This window comes from Homo sapiens, chromosome 1, assembly GCF_000001405.40.
Source record: "Homo sapiens chromosome 1, GRCh38.p14 Primary Assembly".
In the NCBI taxonomy this organism is placed as follows: Eukaryota; Metazoa; Chordata; class Mammalia; order Primates; family Hominidae; genus Homo; species Homo sapiens.
Window position 1 is genome coordinate 95,298,007 of NC_000001.11, and position 20,303 is coordinate 95,318,309.

A 20,303-nucleotide genomic window follows, 5' to 3' on the forward strand; every position below is an offset into this window, starting at 1 on the left:
ATCCGTCACCCCTTTCTTTGACTAGGAAAGGGAACTCCCTGACCCCTTGCGCTTCCCGAGTGAGGCAATGCCTCGCCCTGCTTTGGCTCGCGCATGGTGCGCGCACCCAGTGGCCTGCGCCCACTGTCTGGCACTCTCTAGTGAGATGAACCTGGTACCTCAGATGGAAATGCAGAAATCACCCGTCTTCTGCGTCGCTCACGCTGGGAGCTGTAGACCGGAGCTGTTCCTATTCGGCCATCTTGGCTCCTCAGGGAATTTTTCATAAAGGTAAAACACTCATGTAATCACCTCCTCCTGCAAGACATAGAACATTGCCAGCTCCCAAGTGGCCCTGCCTATGCTGCCTCCTGGTCATCATCCCTCTTTTCCCAAGTAACCACTGCCACTGGCTTTTCCCACTAAGACAACGTGGCCTATATCCACAAGTTTTGATATGTTATGTTATTATCATTCAGTTCAAAATATTTTCTAATTTCCATTGTGATTTCTTCTTTGACCAATTTCCAAATAATTGTGGGATGTTCTAGTTATCATTTTTGTTACTGGTTTCTAGCTTAATTCTACTGAGGTCAGAGAATACATTAATGGTTTCAATATTTTGAAATTTGTTTGAACTTGGGGACTTGTTTTATAGCCCAGCATATGGTCAGTCCTGACAAGTGTCACATGTTCCCTTATTAGATGCATAATTTTTTATACAATAACTAAGTCAAGTTTATTAATGATACCTTCTAGTTGATCATTTAATAAGTAACTGAGAAAAATGTGTTAAAGTATCCACTATCATTGTGGATTTATCTCTTCGTACTTTTAGATGTCAATATTTGCTGCACATTTTTTGGGAGAATACAAATCTGAAATTATCTTATCTTTCTGGTAGATTAATTTGTAAACACCATTATCAAATCTCCTTTTTTATTTTTGATAGTAGTGTTTACATATCTCTCCTTCCATTCTTTTACTGTCAACCTTTCTGTGTCCTTATACTTAAGATATGCTTATTTAGGCAACATATGGTTGAATTTTTATTTTTTCTTTGAGTTGGATAAACTTTGTCTTTCAATTGAAGCATTTAGTCCATTACATTTAATGTAATTACTGATATATTTGGAATTATATTTATTGGCTATAACAACATGCATTCTTTACTTAATAGAGTCTAATATAAATTAATAGTTTTATCACTTCTCAGACAATGCTAGGATTTAAGAACATATTAACTTCATTTATTTCTTGTCTGTTTGAGTTATTGCTGTCATACATTTTAATGATACATGTATTTTAAACTCCATAAAATATTATTATTACTTTGTAGTCAATAGCCATTTATATTTATACTCATATTTACCTCTCTGTTGCTCCTCATTCCTCTCTGCAATTCTGTCTTTCCAGCTGGGATCATTTCCTTTCTGTCTAAAGAACTCCCATCAGTATTTCTTTTAGTGTGGATCTGCTGACAAAAATCTGTATTATCTACAAAATCTTGTATTAAATTGGAAAGGTATTCACTGGATATAGATTGCTGAGTTTCCAACAATTTCTTTCAGCACTTCAAGATGTTATTCTATTTTCTTCTGGCTTCCATGGTTTCTGTTGAGAACTTAGTTGTCATTGTAGTTCCTTTGAAGGCAATTTGCTTTTTTATCTGGCTGTTCTTATGGTTTATTATTTGTTTTTGTCATTTGGCAATTTCACTGTGAAGTGACTAGTAATGTATTTATCCTGTTGAGGTTTAACATCTTTTATCTGTTTTGGAAAATTTGCAGACATTTTCTCTTTAAATATTTGTTTTGCCACCATTTCCTTTCTAATTCTCTTCTGGGGCCTCAAGAACACTTATGTTAGGATTCTGCCATCTCCTGTGTATCTCTTGTACTCTTCTCTGTATTTTTATTTTTTCTCTTCATGCTCTGGTCTGAGTATTTTCTTCTGAGATATCTTACAGTACTAATCTTTTCACCTGTGTTTTGTCTACTATTAAACTCATCTATTGAATTGTTAGCTTTATTATATTTTTTTCAGTTCTAGCATTTTCACCTGATTTTTTTAAGATTCCATTTGGCAAAGTTTTCTTGTCCTCTATTTTTTGAACATTTGAATCCAAGTTTGATAACTCTATTATTTGCATCATCTCTGGCCCTGTTTCTATTGTCTTTTTACTTTTTGTCCTGTTTCTTGGTACGTTTGGCATTTTTAAAATTGAGTGCCAGACATTTTGTATGAAAAACTGTAGAAGCTGTAGATGACTCCTCTAGAGGTTCTACTTCATACAATGGTAGGCAGCTAGAATAAGGGCAAAGAGACTCAATCTCAATCTAATCAGTGTATGACTGAAAAGAGATTGGGTTTTAGAATTTATAAGGCTCTAGGGTCATCCACCGGCACTCAATCTGCAGGCTGGGTAATCTTGGGCAAGTTACTTAATATTTCTATTCATCAAATTTCTCAAGAATCACACAGGAAAAATAATAGTACTTTCCTCATAGGGTTAGAAGATTAAACAAATTAATATAGAAAAAGTACTTAGAATAGTGCCTGGTCAATATAGTGGTCAATTAGTGTTTGCTAGTGTAGTTTTTTTTTTTTTTTTTGAGACAGGATCTTGCTCTGTTGCCCAGGCTGGAGTGCAGTGGCACAATCACAGCTCACTGCAACCTCGACCTCCTGGGCTCAAGTGATTCTCCCACTTTAGCCTCCCAAATAGTTGGGACCACAGGTGTGCCGCTACCACAGGCTAATTTTTAAATTTTTTTGTAGAGATGGTGTCTTGTTTTGTTGCTCAGGCTGATCTCAAACTCCTGGCCAGCCTCAAGTGATCCTCTTGCCTCGGCCTCCCAAAGTGCTAGGATTACAGGCTATACTGTTCCCTGCCTAGTGTAGCTATTTATTTGTGCCCTGATCAGACAAAAACTTAAGGCCAAAATCTTCTCTCTCATTGCCTGCCTTTAACAAATATTAATTGGGATAGCAGCTAATGGAATTCAATGTGTGGAGAAAGGTCAGATTTTGTTAAAAGATAGACTCAGAAAATACAGTGGAATTATAAAACTTAAAAGCTCTTGCAGTATTGAAAATAGGGCCAAATAGGTCATGCAGGCATCTTGGTGCTGGTCCATGGTTATCCCAGATAATTTCCTATATGCAATTCAGTCAGTTTGTATACTGCTAGATGGAGTTTCAGGGCACAATTCTTCCCCTCTGGAGTGGATTTTGAGGACTCTTCAATTTCTTGCCTTCTGTCCCTGGAGTGGGAGTGAGGAATTGTTAAAAGAAGCAAGGCTCAAGAAGAGGAAGTGAAAACCTTAGTTCTCTCTCCATTCTATCTCTCAGGCTTTCTTTACCCCCTTTTGGAATGGTGAATTCTTAATCAAGGCTCCAGGAATGATGTTCTATCAAACTGAGAATTAGACACAATTTCATTAGAGAAGTTCCCAATTAATGTTTCTTTCTCAGTCTTATAAGAATCATCCTAGTAGGATCATTCGAGTTTGATGAGATTCAAGGTACATGATTATGCCACAGACACCGTACATGAAGCAATCTGTGTTTTGACTGGTGATAAATTGATAATCACCTACCTGGTTAAGCCAGTCCACAGAGAGGCAGTTAATATTGTGAAACTTCAATAAAGTCGGCTGTCAATGCATAGATATTGCAGGTGAACTCCTTGATCTCTCATTGTAATCCTTAGAATCTCTGTTATCCATCACTCTATAATACATTTGTTTAGCAAGGAAGTAGGCCTCTAAAATCTTACCATCAAAGTAAGCCTCAACAATAACGTTTTTAAATCTGACACACAAGTCTCAACAACCATCAGAACACTATTTAGCTGTCAAATTTAGTGAGGTGATGTCAATTTACAGAAGGATGGCAAGAGATGGCAAAGTGTTCCCCTTTCTTTTATGGAACAATACAAAAGTTTTAGAGGTATCCTTTTGCACTCCGCTTACCAATCAGGCATTTGAGTAGCAGGTTTTGGTATTAAGCTTTCCCTTTCCCTGACAGATCAAAATGCAGACTTCCTAAAGTTTATGAGATTTTCCTATTGCTAAGTCTTAAGTGGTGCAAAGTAGAGTAAGGATCACATTATAGAAGGTACAGCTTTATTTTCATGAATAAATATTGTTAAAAAACAAACAATATTGACAGATGGTTTTTATTTAGAATAAAATATTTAATAATTAATTTATTTATTTATCTTAGCTGTCTTGTACTTGGTTTCATTGTGAAAATGAGTTGTCACTTCAATAATTCTTCCCGGGGAACGTATATTCCGCAAAGGCCAAAACTCAAGAGTAAAACCAGTCATGGCTCCACTTAGCATTTCTAGGCTGTTACCCTTTATGAAGACGACATTTGGTCTTCCCCTGGTATATTTTGAATTTATATGAACATTCTAATGAATGATCTTATTGTGTGTGGTTCAATCTCCTGAGGAAAGAATTTTCTTCTATTTAATCTCAGGAAATAGGATCAGCTCTGCCAAAGTATTAGGGGCCTAAGGAAACACTTCCTGTATTTAAATTAAGCAGCTTTAAAACTGCTTAAAGGGGTCTCACTGATTAGAATTCCAGTGGAGAAAGCTCGGGAAGATTTCAGATTGTATCTGAATCCACTTCGCTTCTACTCCTGGTGGGAATTTTGAAAGGATTTTTATAGTTTCCTTAGGCAGTCAATTACAGATCTTCTTTTTCCAGTAATTTTTGAATTCATTATTCTCAAATATCGGAATGCATAAAGGAAAATATATCCTCTAAGCTATGGTATAAGACAGAGTGATTCAATCAAAGGTTTCTTACAGTTTGGAAAAAATTTTCAGTTTTTCTTACCTTTATTCAGAATTGTCTTGGGAGAAGTATGTAATCAAGACTTGCTGAGGAAATTGACTTTTCTTCATGACAGCAGCTCCTTGAGAACAGGGACATGTATGTTACGTCGTAACTTTTCCTAGAGCACCATGCACAATATTTTGTATAAAATATAAGCTCAATAAATGTGTAATTAAATTTACTGATGTATATTGTCTTGACAAATACTTATCAGGTATTACAGAGCATTCTGGTAATTGAGAAAGACATGGGTTGTTATAAGATTTGTTTTAAGGAATCCTTAGACCATTCTACTTGCAATCAGTTTCTCATACCAATGGGACTTTTTTGGTGTCAGTAGACTACTGCTAGCTGATAGGATGTTTGCTTTGACTTTTAACCCTATCCTAACTAAATTTAATAAAATAAAAGTAGAGAAAGCAAGAACAATATTTCAAAACCACTTTTTTTCCCCATATGGTGCATTATATGCAAAAAAAGTTATATCTAATGTGGTAATTAAAGGAAATTTTCACAAACTTATTGAAGGCATTGTATAATATTTTTATTCATAGTAATAAACAGCAAGTTGAAATATCCAGAAGAGATACAGTAATAAGAGGTAATATTTGTTGAATACTTAGATGGGCCACATGCTTCTTTACCCCTTCACATTCAAAAATTAATTTGATCCTTTCAAGCAACTGTGAATTTGGCACCATGATTAACATTTATATATGAAGAAGTCAAAGCTCAAAATGTTCATGTGGGTAAATTCTGGTTTAGGAACTAGGCAGAATGAACTAATATGGACAATCCATTATACTCTTCTTTCCTGCCCAGCTTCCACTTTTTAAATTGTGTTAAAATATATATAACATAAAACTTCCCATTTTAATTATGTTTTAAGTTTACAGTTCAGTGGTATTAAATACACTCCCATTGTTGTGCAACCATCACCACCACCCATTTACAGAAACTTTTTCATCTTTCTAAACAGAATCTCTATACCCATCAAACCATAACTCCCCAGTCCCCTTTCCTCCCAGCCCCAGAAACCCCCATTCTACTTTCTGTCTCTATGAATTTGGGACCAGATGAGCCACATTTTTAATCTCTAGGACCATTGCCTCCCAGAGCTGGGTCACATTTTCCATTTTTTTATTTGACAATTTGCTTTTTCATAGGCAATCGACTATGTTTTAGACCCAGTGTAAGTTTTTTCACTCCTAGGGATGTGGGCCTATACTAATTTCATAGTCATACTAAAGACCTTTGGCATTTTAGACCTTTGGCATTTGATCTGATGTTTCCAAGGACTTGCCAGAAGACTCTGTGACCTATCTACCTCGTATTTCCAATCCACATTTAGTTATCTGTTCCAGGACATCTTTGATCATTGGACTCTAATGAATTTGAAGAGCTCACCAAAGCATTTCATTTTGTTAAATGTTCCCATTGAGGCTTCATGTGCTACGTGGAGTTCCATTAATGTGTAACTCAGTGTCATTGCATTTAGACAAGGCCAGTCCACATGGCAGAAGAATTCTCAGAAAGAAGGAAGCCAGAACACCCGAAGGAGGCATACAGAGATGATAAACCAATATTGTTATTTATGACACAGAACATGAGCTTCAAGAGATTTTTAAGCCATTTTCAACTACTTTGTAAGAAAAAGCTGATAGGTCCATTTATTGGGTTTGGGAAAGAAATGTGGCTCCAGCACCATGACCATGCAGTGACAAGGTTAAGACAGATAAGCAAGAGAGTAAAAGACCTGGGCTGTCTTGCTCACGACTTTGGAGGGCTGGTGTAAAGTAAGCTTCTAGTTAACATTTGTTGAGTGAATCAACAAAACTGCTGTTAAATGAGATTTTCCAGGACACCAGATCAAAATATCCAAAACATGATCATCTCAAAAGAAGATTAACTCTGAATTTCCTTGGACTTCGAGAGGTAATGGGGATAAGCACTAACCATATGCTTGCTCCCTCTAAGATTCACTGTGACCATTCACTAATATGCTTTTCTATGTAAACGAAACTGATGGAAATGCAGGCCTGTGGAGCCAGTAAAGCTTTTGCCTGATCTTTAAAACTTTCCTGTTTGCTTATTTGTCTCCTATACTCAATAATACCACTGTGTGAGAACAGTGGGTGGAGTAATCTTAGATGAGTCACTTTGATTTCTCACCTATAAAGAAATGGGTTAGGCTGGGTGTGGTGGCTCATACCTGCGATCTCGGCACTTTTGGAGGCTGAGGCAGGTGATTTCTAGAGCCCAGGAGTTCAAGACCAGCCTGGGCAACATGGTAAAACCATGTCTCTACTAAAAAATTAGCCAGGTGTGGTGGTGCGCACCTGTGATCCCAGCTACTCAGGAGACTGAGGTGGGAGGATCAGCTAAGTCTGGGAAGTTAAGGCTGCAGTGAGCCATGATTATGCCACCGCACTCCAGCCTGCATGATTAGAGTGAGTGAGACCCTGTCTCAAAAAAAAAAAAAAAAAAAAAAAAAAAAGAAATAGGCTGTAATGAGTGAGCCTTGTAATCGATTTGTACCATAATCTTGGATTTTCTCCTTTTTTCCCCCCTTCTTTGTTCTTGCAACCCACCCCTGCTAGCTGGGTTTTATACTTGTTGATATACACAGAATTTCTGATTTTAAAAACCATTTGCAGATGGGAGGAGTACAGAAAGAAAACGGGGTGGGGCTGGGTGGTGAAGTGTAAAGAGGCAGTGGAAGAAAGACTGATTCCTTGGCCCTATATTTTAAAGAGCTTCATAAGATGAAGAATGAATTCCCCAACAGGAGAGACTGAGCAGTGGTTTTCCTTCCTGCAGCGAGATGTTATATAATGTTCCTGAAAAGGCCTGTGCGAATCTCATCTCTGGCAGTCCATGAGCAGGAGGACTTTCTCTGGCTGGCTCCTGTTTCTACCCTGACTCACACGCTTTACAACGAAGCAAGCCGCTGCTCCCTTCTGGGAGTCCTGAGACAAGATTCTCAAGACTGGAAAGAGGTCAACAGGTTGTTGTAACCCCTTAGCTACATTTGTCTCTATTTTTCTAGATTGAGCAAGGATTTGCTTTCCCTTGTTTTAGGAATTACCCTGTCAGTACAAGCAGCTGTTGAATTAGTATGATGGGGAGGAAGGGGTTATCAAATTTATTTTATTTTATGTGAATTCTCATTTTTTGGAAAACAATCTATCCTGTAATTATTTCAGATGCCAGTTCTCAGTTTTGTAAAGTTAGGTTTATTGAGTTTTGGGGCATTATTTCCAGCGAGTTCTTATATGTATATATGAAAAAATTAATGTAACACTGAAAAGTAATTATTTAAAAAATTATGAATAGAATCTTAAAATACCTTAGGAAATTTATAGATTTTTAAAAACATATTTTCAAAAATTACCTTAAACATGTAAATCAGCTGTAATCTTCCAGTGAATTAGGAAACCCATGTCTTTGATGTTAACCCTCTTTACTAGGGACTAAAACCCCTCTTGGGTCATAACCACATCCAGTTATAGTGGAACACTAGTTGAAGACCCTGTCAGAACTCCCAAAGAATCAAAAATTACAACTGGGAATCCAAACAGAGATGCTCAGGTGTTCTTGAAAAAAGAAGGCTTGGCATGCAGAAGATGTTCAATGAATATTTATTAAATAAATACAACTGAAGAAGCTGATAACTGAGTTTCTTTAAAAAGGAGGTTTTTGAAGCTAGCTCCAAAAAACACAGCAAAAGCAGTGGCTTCATGGAGGAAACCACAGCATGGAGGACACTTGGAATTGACATGTGATGAACTCTGTGTCACGGATCTAGCTCAGCCTCTGCTATAGACTTGTATCTGTGGACAAATTATTTCACCTCCATGGGCCTCAGTTTCCTCTCTGTAAAAGAAGAGGTTGTCAGTGGTTTTCAAACTGTGATTTTCTTTTTGTGATCTAAGTCTTATGAAGAATTATAATATACACACTAGGTAAAAGTAGACCCTCCTGGGTTGCATCTGGGGAGGCATTCTGGAGTCCTACCTGCCCTAGCACCCCTCAACTTGACGGCACACAGCTGTAAAGTGACCAGGCTTAATGATCTGTTAGGTCACTCTCCAGCTGTGACATTCAAGGGGAGTGCTAATAATCAGTGTTACAAGGAGCTGTCTGGAGGCCAGTGGAGGGTTTTTGAGGACGTATTTTGAGAAGTACTTCTTTAGAGTGTCATCTTCTCCCCTCAAACCTATTCCGACCCCTGCAGTCTCTAACCCTGTTGATGGCACCACAATCTATGTTGTCTCCTATGCTGGAAACCTAGGAGTTATCTAAGACCCATCCCTCAGGGTCCATATCCAATAAAACACTATCTTCTTTCAGTGTTGACCTTTGAACATTTCTTATACTTACCGTTTCGTCTCCAGCCCCATCTTCACCACCAGAATTCAGGTCCTTATCCTCTTTCTCTTGATCCTTATCTTCTTTCACAACAAACTCCTGGTCAGTCTACAGACCTTCAGTCTCCTTCCTTCCCTATATGGTCATTCCTTTACATAAAGTCTTTTAATTGTTCTCCGTGACCCATAGGACAGATCCCATCTCTCTGGGAGGGCAGAGAAGGTTTTCCTAGTCTTTCCTGCCTCACTCCCATCTTTCTCATACCATACTTCATGCTCTGGCAATATCAAGCTGCCTGGAGTTCTTTGGATATACCATGTAGTTTTACACCTTCACTCCTGGGGACATAGTAATTTTTCTTCTATTTTGCCCTCTAATGTCTTCTCCCCCTTTTTTCTGTAGCTAATTTCTAATCTTTCTTTAAGTCAGTGCAAGTGTCTTCCCTGTGAAAAGCCTTTGCTGACCCCTTGGCTGAGCTAAGGGCATCCATGTATTTCTTAGGACTCTGCACATTGCTCCCACACTATATTAAAATTATTTGGGTACATGTGTCTCTTCTACTAGATTGTAATTCATTAGTGACTAAGCCTTGTTTCTTTCTATCCCTCTTCCTCCCCAGTGCATGACATCCACTAGGCACTCAGTAAGTGGCCTATCGTGGGATTCTCTCTGGTCTCAAAACATCAGCTCCCTGATTTAGCCTCACATGAGATCAGTCCAGAGATTTAAGTGGCTTCAGGGTCATGCGAAGGGCTAATATGAAGTACAATACTTTCAAAATTTAAAAACCATGTTTTCACTTAAAATAATATTTCTTCGATCCTAGCATTTATCATGAAGCTATTTTAAGCTTTGAAAGTACTGTTTGCTTTTCCTCTTAATAAACTCATCATTTAAGAAGAGAAAAGTCAAAATACACGAGTGAAATACACATTGAATAAATTTACTCAAGTAGACTTTTGAGTCTTTGAGTAAATTTCTCATTTTACCTCTGTCGTAACATGAGCCTTCTGGAGGGTGAATGCCTGCTATGTTCCTCAACCCCGGCGCACATGAGACTCTGGCAAGAGAGCCATCCTCTTCACTATGCAAGTCTCCTTCTCCTTGCCTAGCATCTGAGCCACCAGGAGCCTATATGGCACCTCTGTGTGAATTGGGAAGGCAACTCCTTTGGTGTGATGCAACCCCAAAGGCATGGGGTTTAGAAATAGGACATTGCCTTTGTGCTAAGAAAAAAGTGACTGTTCTCTAGGGAGATGGCTCCAGAGGGAGTAGAGTTGGCTTTGAGCCCCTCTACCAGGCACCTTTGTGAAGTGCAGAGACTGACCCTGCCTAATGCAAACAAAGAGCCACACATCTCCCTCTTGCCCCACATGGTAATCTGGGGCTGCCAACCAAGCCCTAAAGGAGTAGAGATGGTCTCTCTGAAGAGCATGTTGGTGGGCTTTCTTGTTAAGCCTAGCTTGCCATTCTGATGGAGCAGTAGCATACTGTGGTGCTTTCTGAGCTCTGACCCAGAGGAATCCCTTCTTTGTCACTTTGTATAGCTCATTTTGCTAAGTGACAAAGCTGAATCTGTCACAACATGAGCCAAACAAAATAGCGATCACCCCCTCACATGTGTGGAGCCTCTTCACTTTGACGCACTCTGTGGTAAGCGTTATTCACGAGCAGTTAATTATCGGTCTTCATGCATAAAATGAATGTGACATTGGAGACAGATGTTTATTGTTTGTTACATATATATATTTTTTCAAAACTCCAGCTACCGAAATTGGCTGAAATTACCATCATAAAGCACTGCCTTTGTACATTCAGGGTTGTATTCTGATCCCTGACCTGCAGGAACAGCACACTGAGGGGGTAATATACACATGTACAGACTTTTCTTTTTATTGACAAGATGAATGGAATTGCTTTAACAACTGTGCTCAGGCTGAAACAACTGCTGAGTTCCACCAGGGGCTGCTGTTGAACTTCTAAAAAAAGATCATCTTTTGGAGGAGAAGGGGGGTAGTGGCGGATGGGGAGGGAGGGATGGGAATGGGGGAAGAGGAACAGAAAAAAACAAATCTTGGAAGAAAACCTGACATTTCTGTCTGAGGTGAAGCATGCTTTGCTGATGCCACACATGGAATGTTTCGGAAGTGTCAGTAATAAATACTTCTATCAGAAATCTTCATATTCTATATTTCTGCTTATCATACCCCAAGGAGAGTCATACAAAGACATAGCTGTCAGGGTCTAATTTGGATCTGAAAACTATGGCGGTTGTCAGGCATCTTTTCCCATGTGTGATATTTATCTTCTCTCACAAACAAACTGAGTGCAGGGTTTTTAATTAATTTCCAAGTGTCTCCCATGGTAATTTTACCCTAATATATTAATACGATGATTTAAACCATCATTCAGAGACAGACTTTTGGTTGAAAATCACTAAAGGCTTAGATGGTGTTTAGTGTTATCAATAAGCTACACGTTCGTTGGTTTGCAGGGAATCAATAAAGTTGCCCTTTCCTCATTTTTATTTTTAGAGGCATCAGTGGGATTTTATCTCTTTTAAGTATATTAAGGAAATCACGGGTGAGCTGATTTTGTTATTTTTCTTCTTTTGATTGGAGGAACTTCTTAGGCTGTTTCTCTTACTGCCTGTGGAAGGCTTACTTTAAGAAAAGTTCTTGATTTGATGATGAAGGAGTGGATTTTCTTCTTTAAATAGTCCCCTTCAGAAAAACTTGATTTTTAAAAAATAAAGGTGCCAGAAATAGGCCACTGAAAGGGGTATACCCCTGATGTATACAAACCTTTTGGGGGACAGCAAATGAATTTATCTTTTCTTTCCCTGCCCATTAGCCTTTTCAATAAAAGATGTGGAATAAAATGCATAATAAAAATTTTAAGGACAGGAGTAAAGTTGGAAGTGTAACACATGTTTCTTAAACAGTGTATTTTAAGAACAAATGAACATATGTTAATAAGCTAGCTTTAACCATTCCACAGTGTGTATATAGACTTCAAAACATCATGTTGTATGCGGTAAATACATACAATTTTATCTGTCAATTTAAAAAATAAATAAATTTCAGAAAAAAACCCCAAACAAAACAAAACAAAAAAAACCTAAATGAAAATGAAAGTGATGTCTTCCATAATAAGAAGTCACATTTAGAAGAGCTTTATTTATTTGTTTTTGGCAATGCTTGTATCTTTATTTAATATTATTATACTCTTAACTGAAAGGTTGCCTCAGATTTTATAAAGATTTTTTTCTCAATTCGCCTTTAGGATATTTGATTACTAGGGTGATAGGGCAATCTTTCAAGAAATATTTATCTTTCTCTGAAAAAGGCATTCAAACATCATTGAAAACCCATAGCAATAAAAGGTAGATTCCTAGAATGTTATATGAGGCTTTTAATGTCAATTAAAGATGAAATTTTTGGAAATGCATGAAACTCCTTCATATAGAATTGGAGATTGCATCTGTGACTTTTTTTCTGTATGGGGGTTTATTTCTTTCCTTCTCTCCTCAGTCCTCAGCCCCAGCCATAAAAACACTTTTCCTAGATCCATTAGGAAAATTTAATAACCAGATATCTCTCTAATGAGAAAGGATTTTTTAAGTTTGGCTGCTCTGTGCTAGTAATTTGTATTTTTTTCTGGTCTTGCATGTTGTATGTAAGCACCACAAAAAAATCAGCCTTTTAAACAGAGATTGATTCTGACAGCTTTTATTTTATGTGATTTCCAAGAATTGATATAGGAATGCTTCTTAATTGAAATAGTTCTCCTTTTTTGGTTTTTATTTTATTGTCCTTTACTTCTTGACATCTTGTACATTAAATCAAAGGCTGTTTTAGAGACATGAAATGACAGCTTTTTCAGAGTCCGATTCTGGATCCTGATAGATCTGCATTTCTCAAAGCAGACAAGTTGCTCTCGCCAGCCTTGGAGAAGCTTCCTGCATGATGGGCACGTCACCTAGAAACAACATAAACTGCAGGTTAATCACCGAGGAACGGCTCATGTCAATTCCCCACTGCCCTGCTTCCTGTCTAAGAGGAATAAAACCAAGAGTGACTGTTTCTTTGCTATTTAATTTAACAGAATCTGAACTCAACTTTAGTTTGAAATTATATTTCCTCTTGGCCAGGATGGAAAGGCTACTCATGTCATTTAGTAACGCGTTGTAAAGAAAAATCAAAGCGTCCTCATGGACTGTTTTTCCCTGTCGTATCTGCCAGTGATGAGAGAACACATAAAGTGAATGAGACGTGACACAGGCATGCACAGAGAACCCATTTGTTACACTGAAATTCTCAGGAAAATGCTATTTGTGTTACTGTGATGTTTTGGAGTTAGAAAAGAGTTTTTTGGGAAGAAAAGTGTCTTGATATCAGTGAGTAGAAATAAAAATGAGACAGGATGCAAAAATATGATAGCACAGTAAAGAGCAGCACAACAGAGCAGACCAGTCCTCCTTAGAGGTAAAAAGTAAACATCTTATAATGGGAACAGTAACAAGATGAGTATTAGAGATTTGTTTTTCAGTTCTGCCTAACTCTTTGTAACTTTACAATGTAAGATTCAGAAATTGGAGCCAATTACCATAATATGTGGTGGTTTGGTGGGAGCATGTTCTACATCAGACAGTTAAAAGGTTTTATTGCTATTAGGAGCAAGTTAATGCCCTTGATAATGTCTCTACTTGCTTTGTAATGTCTCTTGTTGAAGTATAGAATTCTTTTATCTTCTTATTACATTATGCAAAAACTTGAATTGAAAAGATATTTGCAGGAACATTTAAAGTAGTGCATCAATCAGCTTCAAAGAAGAGAAAATGTTCTCAGAATAGCTTATAAAAGGATAACTGTCAGTTTTATTTTGGATGAACAAAGGCGGCAACGTAAAAAGCACTTTATTGTAAAAGCATACTGTGCAATTCAATAAATATGCCATATAAATATAAAAGAGAAGAAAGTTCATAATTATCTGATGACTTAAATGTAATTTAAGTAATACTTTTAAAATGCACCTAGCAGTGAAGTACTCTTTTTCTATTGGGTTCTGAGTTCTAGCCACTAAGCCCCCATTAGGTGATAACTTAACTCTCTCTCTTTCTCTCACTCTCTCTCTGATAGCATAAGGATTTGAATGGATTAGTCATGGTCCCGTTTTTAATATATCTCTAAAAGATATAGAAAGAAGTATGTGTGGAAATCATTAGCAAAAATTTTAACCACCACTTAATGGTGCAGGCTTTTCAAAATGATTTGGTCTTATCTGCACAGTATTCAATTGTTTCTCATTGTCATTGCTGCTATAAGACAATTTTGAATTTGAATGTAACCGTATTGTGACTTGAAATAGCAGTTCCCAGTGTTTTATGTTTGTTAGGAAAAGCCATTAGCAGTGCAGTTTCTGGACTTTCTAAATCAGGGGTGCTTTGTTACTTTTTATGTAAGGGTACTTACAATTTTCTTATAATTAGAAATCTTTTTTCTTATTTAAGATAGATGGTTTTTAACTGTAAATGCTAGCTATACAAGCTTATTTTTCAAATGTTTCCCAGGTAATGAACTCTCACCTCATAAATGCTGCAGAGATGATTTTTTTCTGACAACTCTAAAAAATCTACAATGTGAACTACCTATTTAAAGAAAATATTCAGATCCACATGGAAAATATAACATAAATTTTTAGAATAGGAAAAAAATCATCTATAGAACTGAACTTCCCTATAACTTATGTTTCCACGCATGTCAATATGCATCTAAGCATGGACAGCCAGCTCCCTGCATGTAGAAGGCACTTTTCAAGTATTTGTTGATTAAAGTTGGAATATAAAAATATCCCAATCAGTAAAAATCTGTCTTTTGCTTTTTAACCTGACAAAGGGATACTAATCCCATATTAAATAGAGTAATATAAGTGTTCCCCCAGATTCTGGTCTTTTCAAGACTCAGAAGATTTCATTTGAAGTAAAAAAACCAGGTTAATTCATGCAACCACACTATTGTACCTTATAAAATTATATTAATGTTTGTAACACTTCTAAGAAATAATCTTCATTTATTTTAAAACTGCAAATATGGCACCTTATAATAGGAAATCAATTCATAACTTTATTTATGACATCATTTTGCTGGCAACTTGTTTCTCATGACTATTGTTCATGATACCTAATTCATTAAAGTAATTTTCTCCTTCTTTCAGTGGGTTTCCTACAGACTCTATAGCCAGTACTCAGTGCACTGCTGCTCTCTGAGATACCCCATTTTCTCATTGCTCCTTTCTTTTGGTATGTTTGGGAGCACTCTCATTTTGAAAGTACAAGGAAAATTATCTCATAAAAGAATGTAATAACAACAGAACTTCTGAGATTTCAAAAACGTAGAATTCTTAAGTTATTGAACTATGGGAAAAGCTGTAATTTATAACCAGTAAGTTAGTATGTTGTACACATCTGTGTACTGTTTCAGAAAATAAAGGTTGTTACCATAGCAACTGCCACATAACATAGAACATACGTTATTTGTGAGATGCCAGGCTCCGTGTTAAAAAAAAAAAATCCCTCCTCATGGCTGCTGCCTGGTGTTTCAAGGATTTCAGCCTTTTCTTTACTATAATAAGGGATCCTCTTTTTTAGTGTCCTGTTATTTTAAGTATTTTCCTTATTTTTATTTTCTCATTCTTTTAGGGTTTGTTAGCTATTGGTAAGTTTGTGTAGTACTGCTATGATTCGGTGACTGCCTCGAAGAGATTTCTCACCTAGTGTTAATTTGTTAATTTTTAAGAAATTAGAATTCCTCTTTCAGATATAGCAACATGTATGTGTTAAGAATACATTTAGTTATTCTGAATGCAACAGGTAAATGCAACTGGTAACATTTTATTTTGTGGCCCTTTGAAGATTTTACAATTTTGTATTGTATGACCACTATGGTATTTAACCACTTTTTAAAAATAAAAATGTCACCTAGGAGTATGTATTTTACAGGTGTCATTTTTTATTTTAAAATTTGTGTCATATTTAATTTCATTTGAAACTATCATATAATGACAAAATTTAACTTCTAAAGAAGTGTAGATTTCCAGTCTTTTTTGGTAAGTGCTAACGCCAAAGAATAAGAACGTTGACAAATAATTCTGAAGTCTCAATTTTAATCCAACTCCTTTTAGTTTTAAAGGCAGAATAATGAATGAATAAAAGGAAGGAGGTAATAAAGCAAAATGGAGGACCCTTTAATATGGCTGAGCAAGGGATCAGAATATCCAACCACTTTGAAATTAGTCTGAAAACAGCTTGACACATTAGAGCAACGATTTTTGGACTCATTGTTCTCATCCACATTATGGCAGAGATTTTTTATATGTATCTGTGAAGATTGGATTTCTTGTGCATGGTGAATTTTTAGCCCAGATTCAATATATTATTGCAAACACTGACATATTTTATCAGGTTAGAGGTTTTCCAAAGAATAGCATCTGAGTTTTCCTTTGCTGGGTACCAGCTTTCCCTAGAGACAGCTACCTCTGTATCTTTGGAATGGTTCTGTGTCACAAAAATGTGACACAGGATATCAATCCTGAAAACAAAACACTTCTGGTGAAAAATGGCAGAATAGATAATACTCCTCCTTTCTTAAAAAATAATAGTTTAATCAATAAGCATTTATTAAACATCTACCATGTGCCAGGCACACTTTTGGGGACATAAAGATGAATAACGGAGCTTCCCTGTCTCCAGGGAACTCAGAAATTTAATCAGGCAGAGAAGAGCACCATTAACTGACACAATGAGCTGTATGCTGCAACCTGATCTTTCCACAGGTCTCATCAGTCAACAACAACAACAACAACAACAAACAGTAATCATAGTTGACATTTATTGAACACTTAACTTTTTGACAGGCACCTCAGATGTATTTTGTAATTCAATCCACACAATAGTGCTCTGAGGGTTTTTTTGACAAGAAACTGGGCTTACAGCATTTGAATAACTTGCCTAAGGTTACACAGTGGAGTAAGGGTTCTCATGCCTGTTAAACCTAAAATATTACCTAAAATAATATACCTTGACCACTTGTTGCATTGGCACTGCTACCGTCCCCATCCCTGGCACCTTTGTCTCTCACTGGGCTCTGCAGTAGCCACCTGATAGACTTTCTGGCTGCCTCTTGGCCCTATGGTCCATCTTCCAAAGACTGGAAATCTACTCTTCTTTAGCTCCCAGGGTGGCCTTGTAAGAACATAAGTCAGATCACGTGCTCCCTGCTTGGAATTTTCCAGTGACTTCCCATTACATGCAGAACAGAATCCCAGCCCTTTTCCATGGGTTACAAGGCCCTGCAGAATTTGCCACCTTTCCCTGAACCCTTAAACTTCATCTCCTACTGTTCTCCCCCTAGCTTGTTTACAGTGCTTTAGACCGGGATCAGCACACTTCTCAGCACAGGGCCAGGTAAATATTTTAGGCTCTGCAGGCCATGCAGTCTCCCTTGCAGCTACTCAGCCCTGCTATTCTAGCATGAAAGCACCCATAGATAATAAATAAGCAGACGAGTGTGGCTATGTTCCAATAAAACTTTATTGACATAAACAGGCAGCAGGCTGGATTTGGCCTGTAGACTGGAGTTTGCTGATCCTTGTTGTAGATTTACTCTTTTTTCTTTTCATTCCTCCAATTTGCCAAGGCTTTCCAACCAGAGGGTTCACCTCAGATCTTCCCTGGGCTGCCTCTTCTGGCCACTGCATCCTCACTGTGAATGAGAGATTAACCCGGCTCCTCTATTTAAGTAGTTTGCTCTACTCATCTCCTGCATTATTACCTACTTTATTGTCTTCACAGCCTTTATCACATGAAACCTCTCATTAATGTATTTGCTTACTTGTTTATCAACTGTGTCTCCCTCTGTAAGGTGAACATCCTGTGAGGAGGACACTTTTTGCCTCGCTCACTGTGGTGTTTCTACCAACTAGAGCTGAGCCTATGGCATGAAAAAGGTGCTCAGGAAGTGTGTTCAGTTGAATGGAGAACAAGCCTGACTAACTCTAAAGCTTGTGCTTTCTATGATTTCCCAATATTCCTCTTCTGGAAGAATGAGCTCACACCAATGGTAATTTGAGGAATTTGTCACACTGGATTCATGAGGACCTGGCAAAGCTTCACCACCACGCACTTCTGGTCGACCCCAGGGAATTTCTCCCATGGGCATGTGAATAAGGCTGACGTCTGCCCCATGGTGTCCCGGAGTATTGACCTCTCATGCTGTTTATCACTGCCTTTGCTGACAAAGTCCCATGGCCACTGGGTATCATCACCTCCATCAGGCTTCTGTGTCACTTCTCCTGCATAGTCTGCACTCACTGAGCACCTTGAATGTCTTGAGACACCACCTGTGGGTGTCACAGAGACCACCTGGTGATGCCATTGCCCCTGCTGCCACCTCTATCTGAGCACCACTGCCTCTGTCATGTGCCCAAGCCTTCTGCTGGGACTACCCTTGCTTCCAGCCCCACCACGGTGCCACCACTTCAATGAGCTAAGCTGCTTCTAGTGGATGGTGGAGTTAGATGATCACCCTCTTTCAATTTTCTCTCAAATTAGTGATTCTGAATTAGTGTGGCTTGTGCTCCCAAATTGAATAATTTTAAACTTTTACTTACCACCATCTCTCTTCCTAAATGTAGTACCTGATGCTTACGTGAGGCTCATTGTGTGCCTGGCAGTGTGGGGAGAGATTTACATACATTAACTTGTGCAATGCTCACAACAGACCCATATTATTTTCATCTCCACTGAGGCCAGAGGGGTTAACTGACTCACTCAAGGCAACCAGCAAGCAACAGAACTTAGATCTGAATCCAGGCAACTGGCTTTAGATGCATGCTATTAATCACCCATCTACAAGGACCTAGACATGTGTCTATGGGGCTAGGCTTGGGATAGATGCAAGAAACTGATACCACACTCCAAAGCCCTATTTCACAGTTACCCTGGGGGTAACAAGCCTAGTCAGTTAAGTCTCTCAGTGCCATGTGATTCCTGGGTGCACACCACTGGCTTGCTAGATCTGTGTAATTACATCTGAACTGAGGCTGAAGCAAGGACTGTTCTCCCCAGACTCTTCTTCGAGTAAGGTGCTAAGGTAGACGCTTGAACTGTGTCTTTAACACAAAGGAGTCATGAACTATGTAGGGAAGGAAGTGAAATTTGAACTGCATCCTGAAAGATGACAGTGTTTTTGCCAGAGACTTTAGAAATGGACATAACCAGACCAAGGGGCTAGTGCAACCTATATTCCTTACAAGACAGAGAACAGGCCAAGGCATGGCAAGAGAGAAGGATGAGAAAGTAGAATGGGCTGGAATTTGAAGAGCCTTGATGCTAGGGAATTTGGACTTCATTATCTAGGCAAGAATAGGAGTGGGAAGGAGAGGCATCTAGTAACAGCTTTAACACGTGAAAGCTAGATATCAAAGAGCTCCCTGATATTCTTGTTGAGTGGAGGTTTTGAATCTATGGTTCAAAGGCTACTTGATGTCTCCTTGGTCTCTGGGTGGTCTGTGGACTCCCCTCTTATAATATTGATTGGGACAGGACTCTACCTTCATGGCTGTCATGTGAACTAATGATTGACAATGGCCCTTATCAAAATCAGTTCCATTTTCCTCATTCCTTGTAATAAAGTTTACCCTCTCTACATCTGTTCCCACCGCCTGCCCCAGCAGTAGTGGGAGGTGATTCCTGAGTGTTGTTATATTGGAGTGGCCCCAAGAAGTTCTAGAACTACTGCTCCAGAAGACCTCAGCCATGGAGATAATGTCACACCTGATTGTCTTGAATGGCTTTATCCAGGTTAGCCAGTCTTCTGAGCCCTAGGTCAAACCTCCCAGCCACCTCCCAGCTGGGATGATTACAAATGGACTCACCCTTAGTCTAGTAAGTTGCCTGGCAAGCGTGGTCATCTCTGATGACTTTGGAGACTGTCCAGTTTTCATGTCCACTAATTAGGCAGTTATTCACGCTTCATTTCACTTACTCAAAGGGCTCCCTTCCGATCGGAACACTTGTGAAGTTCTTCTGTGACTTCA

General features: G+C 38.2%; 2 long non-coding RNA genes across 3 annotated transcripts, besides 1 other annotated feature; both read right to left on the reverse strand.

Moving 5' to 3' along the window:
• Positions 11,007-11,301: an enhancer, noted in NCBI's record as "tiled region #5488; K562 Activating DNase matched - State 12:CtcfO". NCBI's record gives its function as "activates a minimal TATA promoter and a strong SV40 promoter by Sharpr-MPRA in K562 cells {active_cell/tissue: K562}" and the evidence as "EXISTENCE:reporter gene assay evidence [ECO:0000049][PMID:27701403]".
• LINC01760 (long intergenic non-protein coding RNA 1760) lies at positions 12,922-20,257 on the reverse strand. The gene is made up of 2 exons (NR_135588.1): positions 20,142-20,257; positions 12,922-13,187 (listed from the first exon to the last, which is right to left on the reverse strand). It is a non-coding gene; the product is annotated as a long intergenic non-protein coding RNA 1760 (long non-coding RNA).
• LOC105378864 (uncharacterized) lies at positions 17,782-19,977 on the reverse strand. 2 transcript variants are annotated; one of them, XR_947612.3, is made up of 3 exons: positions 19,905-19,977; positions 18,876-18,931; positions 17,782-17,968 (listed from the first exon to the last, which is right to left on the reverse strand). It is a non-coding gene; the product is annotated as an uncharacterized LOC105378864 (long non-coding RNA). The 2 variants fall into 2 exon arrangements; XR_947611.3 differs by having other exon boundaries at positions 19,818-19,943.
• Positions 20,258-20,303: the final 46 nt, after the last annotated feature.